We start from the raw sequence: 9925 nt of genomic DNA, 5'->3' as shown, positions 1-9925 counted from the left end.
CCACAAATTTACCTGTGCAAACATTTGAGAAAGAATTATGTGAGCCTGGACAGTTCTGTGTCTGGAGAACATCAGAGTCCAGTTACCCTAGAGGCCGGGCTATGTCATGGGCAAAAGCAAGAGTGCAGCCACAGACAGCAAGATGCCAATGCTTCATGTGGCAGGGGATATGGGTTTCTAAACATTTTAGAACCAGAGAAACAAAATCTGAGGGTGGAGACCAGCAAAGCAGTGAAGACTTCACAGTGGATGTCCACATCAGACCTCTGTAGGGAAGATCCAGCAATGTGGGAGCTGAGAAATAAAGTGAGTCTTCTCTTTCATTGATTGTAGATAGTTCTGAGAAGAGAAAGCAGATTCTCACACCCTTCTATCATGTTTCAAAGCCAATTACCACCTTTTTTCTATAAAATATAGAATTAGCATGACTATGTAATCACATGAGGTTTATAAAGGGTGTGGCACAATGTCCAATGCAGAACAGCTACTGACAGACACCTGGCAGTGATGCTGAAGATGATGATGGAGATGAGAATGGTATGCTGGAGATGAAAATGGTGATGGTGATGATGGTTTTGAAGGTGATGATGATGGTATGGTGGTAATGCTGGTAATGGTAATGATGGTGATGGTGTTGATGATGATAGCGGTGCTCATGATGAGTATAATGATGGTGAGTATACTGATGGTGATGGTGGTAGTGGTGATGGTGATGTTGATGACAGCAGTAATGTTGGTATTGATAATGGTGATGTGATTGTGATAATAGTGATGATGGTGGTGGTGGTGGTGGTTATAATGGTGGTGATGATGGTAGCTCTTGTAATGATAATAGTGGTGATGGTAATAGTGGTGAAGTTGGTGATAGTGATGGTAGTAATAGTGGTGGTGGTGATGGTGATGACGGCAGAGACGGTCGTATTGATAATGATGATGATGGTGGTGATGATAGTGATGATGATGGTGATAATGGTGATGGTGGTAAAGATGGTAGTGATGGTGGGGATTATGGTGGTACTGGTTTTGATGGTGATGGTCTTGGTGGTGGCAGTAATGGTGACGGTGATGATAATAGTGATGGTGATGGTAGTGATGATTATGGTGAGGGTGGTGATGATGGTGATGACCATGATGTTGAGGTTATGGTGATGGTGATCATGGTGGTGATGGTGATGGTGATGATGCTGGTGATGATGATGGTGATCATGGGGGTGGTATCAATGGTGATAGTGGTAAAGATAATGGTGATGGTGGTAGTGATGATTGTGGGGATGGTGGAGGTGATGCTGGTGATAGTGATGGTGGTTATGGAAGTGGCAATAGTTGTGAAGATTATGGTGATATTGATGATATAGTGGTGATGGTGGTGATATGATATTTGATGTGAAAAGATAAAGCTCTTTGATGCAGAATATAAGCACGAGGCCAGAGCAGGTATCATTAAGGGTTTTCCTCTGTTTGCAGGCTCATCAGATCTGGACTCAGGTGAAACTTGTCCTCAGACACCTTGCCTTGGATGGGAAACTGTTTTTCATTAATGGATCATGTGTTCTTCTTAACCACAGCAGCAAACGTGGTTTTTCCATGGTATTCACGCCTCCAACTGACTAAGATGACCATGAAAAAGAAGGAGATGGGTAGTTTGAGAAAGGGGCAGGGAGCAAGAGAGACAGCACCAGGAAAGGGGTGAGGAGGCAGAGTGGAAGAGAAGATAGAAACCAGACTTGTCCACAGGGTGTCCACACGTTCATTGTCACCTGCCTTCAGAATGTCCCTGTCTTCTGAGAGAGTCACTTCTGGGCCTGTCTCTCCTTTCTGGAAAGATCCAGCAGGGGCCCTGGGGAGAGCTGCAGGAACAGGAGGCTGTGCCATCTACTGGCCATTGCTCTGTTCAATAAAACCCCACATGCCCAGGTAGCCCAGGGCAGCGAGGACAGAACCAAGCCGACGGGCCTCTGCAGAACCCGTACGGCACTCAGGGAGTGCTTAGTTTGCAAAACCCCTTTCTCCAAGGCAGATGCTATGACAACCCCAGGGTTACCTTCAGAGACTGCTCCCCAGGGTGAGGCTCGAGTAGAGGCACCCGAAGGGCTGGTCATCCGTGGGTGAATGCTTCCCTCTGGTGGTCACTGTGGTGAAGTGGAGCATGCAGAACCCAGAGGTTCTCTGCAACCTCATGAACTGAGCAGGAGTTACAGGGCAGGTGGCTGCAGGCACAGGAATTGCCCTGTAGCTTTGTGGTTTATCTGCCACATCTGGGCATTCTCTTTGTGATGTGTTCATCTTCACAAGTGATGTTTCAGCATATCGTCCCCTCCTTTATCATGGGGTGAGGAGGTTGCCAACTCTGCAAGCCTCTTCCCACTTAGTTCCCCTCAGACACACTCCATCTCTCAGGGCCCAAAAGCTCACCATTCCTGCCAACTCTGACACAGCTCAGGCATCATTCTCAGATACATTCAATGCCATGAATGGCAGACTTAGCTGGGCATAGTGGCACGCACCTGTAGTCCCAGCTACTCAGGAGGCTGAGGAAGAATCACTTGAACCCAGGACGCTGAGGAAGAATCACTTGAACCCAGAAGGCGGAGGTTGCAGTGAGCCAAGATCGTGCCACTGCACTGAAGCCTGGTGATAGAGTGAGACTCCATTTAAAAAAAAAAAAGGCTAATGTTTTCTTTTTCCAAATATGACTGGCAAATAGGTACTTAAAACATTTTATAATAAAAAGCCATTGTGGTGCCATATTCATAATGAAGTCCATCAGCAAAAGGAAGAAGACCCTCCCCTGCACTCTAATGAAATCTGGCCCCTCTAGGCTGGGCACAGGGGTTGACATTTTAGATCCACAGTCTGGCATGTATGATGTCCCAAGAATCTCCTGAGGACAGCTCTCGGTTCCTTCCTGAGAGGTGACCATCTGCTCATCCTCATGTCTCCTCTAGTTCAGTAATTTTCATGGCACGTGCTCAGACCAGGGCTGGAGTTCTGTTCTTTCCTCCCCACTATGCCCTCACCCCAGCCCTCAGCAAGTCCTGTCTCGCTGCCTCTCACAGACATCCTGAGTCTCCTGTGCTCCACCTCCCGACCACTGCACGGGCCCAGGTCACTGTCCTCCCTTTCCTGGGTGACTGCAATGTCCTCCTGACTGTTCTCCACCCTCCCATTCTCACCGACTAGAAGCCTGTTCCTTCCTTGAGGCCATGCCAGCCTTCTAATAACATATAAGGTGTCATGTCATAGTCCCGGTAAAACCTTTCAAAGGCTTCTCATTAGAGTTGGAATAAAGTATATTCAGCATGATGCATATGGCCTGGCAGGAACTGACATCTGCTCATCCCCAGACCCAGTCTCTGTATCTCTCCTGCCTGCTGGTCCTTGATGATCAATTCAGGAGCTTCCACAGGTTAAGATCATTTTCTCCTCAGGGTAAGTTCATGCTGCTTTTTGGCCAGAAAATCCCCACCCTTGGGTTTCTGCAGCTGGCTGCTTCTCCTCCTGCAGAGTGCAGCTCCCATGTCACATCCCCAGAGTGGTCTTTCCAGGTCACTCTTTCTAGGTTAGGATATCATTTGGCTACAAGCTGGGTAGAGGCAATACTGTATTCGTCCCATTATCTGTAAAGTGCCTATGAACAATCCCTGGACCATAGAAGACTCTGAATATACATATTGGATGAAATGCCTTTATGGACGTATCAGAGACTTTCTCAGTGGCAATGAGATAATGTCATGTGAACATCTTACCGGCAGCATCTGTGAGGTTGTGTTAACTCTACAACTATTTGTTATAACTATCATTTCAATGGCAAGAGTTAAGATGACCTTTGGATCTTTTGAAAAATGACAAAAGCTTGGGATCAAATATCAAAATGCAACTAGGGAAGGATAAGAAATCACCCTAGGGAGGGTGGCAGGAAGCACAGGGTGTCCCAGAGACAGTGTCCTGGAACCCAGCCAGCAGAGCTTCCACCAGCAACACTGTCACCCTTTCTCCAGGGCTTCTCTGTGCCGAGCAGTTCAGTAAGGACCTGGTATGCATTGTCATTTTGTTCTTCACATATCTGCAAATAGAGAAGTGTACTCTTGCTGATGAGAAAATAATTCTTGACATACAGCAGGCACACCATACCTCTCTTTTGACTGAACGCACACATGTATCCAAGGTCCTCCCTTACGGAGAAGACATCACTGGAGAGCTCCAAGATCCCAGACAGGGCTCAGCTATGATGACATCACAGTGTGGGGTCCTGTGCACTTGCATCAGACTCTGCCTTGACACTTTTTGTTGCAGGTTCCTCATCTGCAAAATATGGAAACACATTTCATAAAGATTGTTGGAGGATCCATTAATTCACTCAACTAATTCCTTACTGAACCCTGTGCTAGGGCTGGGACCACAGCATTGAGCAAGTAGACAGTGTGCCCGTGTCTAGAACACAGGAAGCACATAGAGAGGCACAGATATGGTTGATAAAAAGCTTTTACTTTCCTTCCTGGCCTGGGAGTCTCATGAATAGAGGATGCCTTGGAGTAGGGTGTGATCAAAGGTAGACAGCAGAGGAGGTAAAGTGGGACCATCTCCAGTGCATTGCTACCCTAGGAAGAATCTACAGTGTTGCTGAGCTCCTGACAATGATAACAAATACTGCAGGGCAAACTCAGAGACCCTAGAGAAGGGCAATGGGGTGCTCTAGGGGGATGCAGGAGCTGCTGAATGGGGATAAGCCAGGCTCATCATGGGACCAGTAGTGGGCAGCTGGACAGCTTTCAGACTCCTGAGGAGGGATTGATGCCTGGCCATTTGTCCAAGTACATGCATACACACAGTCACACACAAATACACACAGTTTCACACACAGAGAGAATAACACACATACACAGAGTCTCTCACACACACACATAGAATCACACACCCAATCACACACATACATGCAGTCACACACACATGGTCTTGTACAAAGGTGGATTACTATGAAGGAAACCTGCTGAATAAGTATTTTCCTGCATTGAATTTCCTTAAAAGCACAAAACTATGTTCATGGCAAAATCTGGAAGAGCTAGATGCAGACTGAAACAGATCTAAAACTGCATTTTGCAAACTGCTGCACGCAGCACAAATGCAGCTGTAAAAGTTAATGTGCGCTCCTAACTACATTTTTAAAAATTCCTTCAACAAACATTGAAATTATTTTGTATACCAAAGCCTCCTTTTGGAACTATCAATGCACATTATAATATTCATTAAAACTCATAAAATGCCTGCAGTAAGCCACCTGATTTTTTATCTTCAAACTTTAATCAATTATTCTGAAATTCCTACACTTTGATTTTTGAGGGGAATGGCTAACACCTATCAGCTACCTTCAGAAAGAGTGTCCTGTGGAAATAAATTAAGAAACATTCATCTGTAATATTGTTTCACTTTCTGTAAATTCTAGTATTGAGGAAGTTAAGTAAATATAGCCATCCATTGGTATCCATGAGGGATTGGTTCCAGGACCTCCCTCTTATACCAAAATCCATGGATACTGAAGTCCCTCATATAAAATGGTGTAACATGCATATAACCCATGCACATCCTCCTGTATACTGTAAATCATCTCTAGGTTACTCATAATTCCTCAGACAATGTAAATGCTATGTGCATACTTGTTATGCTGTATAGCTTAGGGAACAATGGCAAGATAAAAGTCTGTCCATGTTCAGTGCAGATGCATTTGTTAAAAAATATTTTTTATCTGAACTTGGTTGAATCCAAAAAGGTGGAACTCAAGGATACAGAGGCTGACTGCATGATGATGGCAATTGATGGGATCCAAGTTTTTAACTGTCAAAGAAAGCAGCCACAGCTTTGGAAAGGGAAGAACCAGAATGAATCTCACAGGGTTGGAAATGAGGTCAATATTAACTTATGGTTTATAACGTATAGACAGATAATGTAGAAATAAATATCAACATGTGAGTATGTTCAGGTGTGGATTTCGTAGCTCTGTCCCACTGAGGAGGCCTGGAACAAGGCTCCTCACCCTCCCCACTGTGGACATTTTGGGCCTAATCACTCTATCTTTGGGAGCTGTGCTGTGAAATTGCCTGATGTTTATCAGCATCCAAGACCTCTATCCCCAAAATGACAGCAGCACCTCCTCCCGAGTAGTGACAACCAAAAATGTCCCCAGACACTACCAAGTGTGCTCTGGGAAGCATATTTGGTGCCTCCTGCCACAGGTTGAGAAGCACAGACCGAGGACTCATGGCCATCCAGGAGCAATGAGCACAGGTTGCACTTGGGCCTTGCTTTCTAAATTCACCGCAGATTCTAGCCACTGATTCTAAGGTTGGCTCAGAAAAGTGAAAGATAAATCTGCAACTTCTTGTTACATCAGAAAGTAAAAATAGACTCAAATAATGATGAAAACATCTCATAAGAATGCAGGAAGCAGCTGAAGGGGTCCCCAATAGCCAACTCTGAGATAATTTTCACATTGGAATAAATAGTGCTAACAGAGTGTAACTCATTGAATAAAATAAGAAACCATGAGTCAGATAGATCTATGGAAAGATAAATGGCAAATAGGTAGGTAGGTAGACAGATAAGCAGATAGAAGAAAATAGAGATTTTCCTTATAGTAGAATGAATGCCATTAATAAATGTAGAACAAATAATGAAATTAGAAACAACCTTTTCACAACAGTCATAATAACAATTGATTCAAGCAACAATTATCATTGTATGCTAAAGCTAGAAAGTGAAAATTTGATAAGAAGTAGGATATAATCGTATTTCAAAGCATTGCTTTATGCAATATTTGTTAATGATAAAGTGAAAAATAGCAACTTTATAGTGGACTGGTATAGATACGCTGCAATGGCTGGGGCCAGGCCACTCCTGGGAGGTGGGCTCCTGAAATGTGATCATGGACAGCAACTTCATGTAAAAGTATCCTCTCACCTTCTTGAGAGTGAAAGACTGCCTGGAAAGAGATGCTCACCATCCCCGCTGAGCACATTTCCAGCCTACCCCACCTGAATGCAGCCCCCAACTGAACCTAACAAGACCAGCAGAAGAGCCGCGGACAGCTCCAGAGTCATAAGAATCCACACATCATGTTGCTTTCAGCCAGGAAGATTCGGGGTGGCTTCTGATGCAGCAGTAGGTAACTGATGTGTACAGGATGCTCTGAACATCCCTCCCAGCAGAGACCCACAGTCCATCCCATGTGAGGTCCAGAGAGGGAGAAATCTCCTCCTCCGTAGACTGCATGGTTTCTGCTGGTGTCTACAACTGCCATGCAACTCGTGGAGCGCAGCCCTTTCCTTCCGAATCCAACCTACATTTCATGCTCTCCATGAGGGGCAGGTCTGTGGGCAAAATGATGATTGTAGCAATAGACATGCTGAACTGGTGGTGCCTGCAGGAAGTCCAGTGATGACGTCATGGACAGGGGGATGAGGAGCTTCACTGCTGGAAGCCTGGCCTTAGTTGAGATAACTCAAGACAATTGCAATGGGGTCAACACTCTCACAATAAGACAGAGTGAGCTCAAGTCCAAATATAAAAAGAGTAAGTGGGGATTTATAGCCAAGGAGCAGGGTGTGGAGGTTAGTGAAGAAAAAATTACTAAGCAGAGACATCAAAGGTAGGGGTTTCTGGCTGAACTGACCAAACAGGATTCTTGCTAAAGGCAGGACACAGCCTTAGACATCAAAGCTGAGGGATGAGGAACTTGATCAGATGTCAAGGGTGATCAGACCCCAAGGACAGCAGGATTCTCCCTAAAAGGAAGCAGGATTCTTTCCTAAAACTGAGCAATGCAGACCTGGCAGGTAGGAGCTGGAGACCAAGGTTGAGGCCTAGTGAAGAAGGCTCAGAGGAGCCTTAAAGTTTCGTTAGAGAGTCTTTTCACTGGATCCAGCTCCTCTGTGACAGGAGGAGAGGGCAGGCAGGGCCACAAGAGCAGGCAGGCTGTCCTGATGGCCTCTGGCTCCAGCTCCAGCACCCACTGATTGAGTGTAACAGGATTCCAGGCAGGAACAGGAACCACTCTCCACAGCCACTGCAGTCTGCTAAAGGAATTGATATTTAAGGTTAGACAAACAGTGACAGGGAAGTCCCAGCAGTGACCTGAATGGGGATTAGAAAGGAAACTCTCACCACACAGAGATGCCAAGGGGATTGCTCTCCCCTCAGAGCCATCTGTATTCTCCTGGGCCAGGCCCCTGCAGGCTGGGACCAGGGAGTTGGGGGAAGTCCCTGGGTGCATCAGCAAGCAACCCGAGTTCCCAAGGAACTCTCCCTGTCCTCTCCACTCGGCTGTGGTTCTCTAGCCATGGCTCTGCTAGGAAGAATGTACTCCTTGAGAAAATAAATAGTAACCTTGCAATCTAAAATCCTAAGTGCTGTTTACACATTGATCCCTGAGCAGGAAACTTCCCAAGGATTCTCTTTCCCTCCATAAAGGGCCAAACTCTCAGACCTCAGATCCTGGGCTCTGTACGCCCTTTTCCTGTAGGGGCTTTGGGCATGCTTCACAGCAAGTACCAGAGTTCATAATAATGTGGCCTCATCCCCATCAGAGCCCAGATGCTTACCAATGGTGGCCAATGGTCCAGGAGTATCTCAGGTCCCCCACAGTTGGGAGCAGGGAGGGGGAAGGAGGAAGGGTGTGCATAAGGGACAAGCTTGACCCCAGAGAACTCGCAGCACTCCATAAAGGAGGATTCTGGGCTTCCCCTTTGAGAAGCCAACAAATCCCGTGGCTGCTCAGTCCCATCTCCTATCACAGACACTGAATGTTAATTGCTCAAAACCCGGATGTGCAGAATCTCAACTCTTGGCCAACTTGATCTAACCACTTGCACTTTAGGTGATGTTTATGCCCTTAGGTATTTATTGGTTATAATATTGTTTAGTGTTTCCCTTTACTGCTTATTTATTATAGAGAACTTCTGTCACTCACCTAATTTCTCACTCTACTAATTCAATCATGGGATCAAGTTACACACGCAACCTGGGAGAACACGGCTTTCTCTTTCATCCACTGGCAGAAAGGAAACATGCCCCCTCCTGGGCAACTGGACTCCTCCAGATTACGAAGGTGCTGGAGGCCCCAGGCTTGGTCCTGAGTCCATTGTTTATCTCTGGGTCCCTGCCAGCCTGTCATTGGAGCTGTAAGCTATAGGAACTAAGTCTCCATCTTTTTTTGAGATGGGATCTCACTGTGTTGCACAGTGTGGTCTGGAACACCTGGGTTCAAGAGATCCTCCTGCCTCAGCCTCAAGAGTAGGTGTACAGGCATGCCATAACACTGGGCTATTGTAAATTTTAACCACACTTAAATGTCACTGCAGAATCAAACTTATCTTGCTGGTTTTGAACCACCAGACACCACCATTTACAAAGCAGCTCACCTTTCCATATGCATGACACATAGAGAAGGCAAAACATTTTCCCAAGGTCACCCAGCAGCTGGAGCAGCTGTCCATCTACCCTAACCTTCCACTTACCATCACCCATACTGGATGCATCTCTTGTAGTTCCTGAGAGTGCCCTACATGGGGGTCTGACTACAAAGATTAGAGTGGCCACTGTATCAGGCCTGTTGACCCTCCCTATAGCTCATTCCAGTGTCCTGACAGAGGATGACCACTGGCGGTGGCATCACATACAGGGAAATAGGCCAGCACTCCAGCTCCCACCCCATACTCCACCCACCACCATATGCCTGTTATGTGGATGACCTGCATCTCCTTCCTAATGATAAAAGATAGGAGAGATTTGTATGTATTTCAGCTTACCCTCTGCACAACACATCCTCCTGAGAGTTGAGACCTAGCGGCCAGGGAAGGTGGGAGCCACAGAGGAGACCCAACTCCCACACTTGGGAGATGACCATTCTGCCCACAAGCACCTGGCCAGGGACTGC

At 46.2% G+C, this 9925-nt stretch overlaps 1 annotated feature.

Moving 5' to 3' along the window:
* Nucleotides 1951–2451: an enhancer, noted in NCBI's record as "H3K4me1 hESC enhancer chr20:23870192-23870692 (GRCh37/hg19 assembly coordinates)". NCBI's record gives its function as "activates a minimal SCP1, AML or CMV promoter by ChIP-STARR-seq in primed H9 embryonic stem cells {active_cell/tissue: H9 hESC(primed)}" and the evidence as "EXISTENCE:reporter gene assay evidence [ECO:0000049][PMID:30033119]".

Source organism: Homo sapiens, chromosome 20, assembly GCF_000001405.40.
Source record: "Homo sapiens chromosome 20, GRCh38.p14 Primary Assembly".
In the NCBI taxonomy this organism is placed as follows: Eukaryota; Metazoa; Chordata; class Mammalia; order Primates; family Hominidae; genus Homo; species Homo sapiens.
This window is presented reverse-complemented; position numbering and strand designations above follow the sequence as displayed.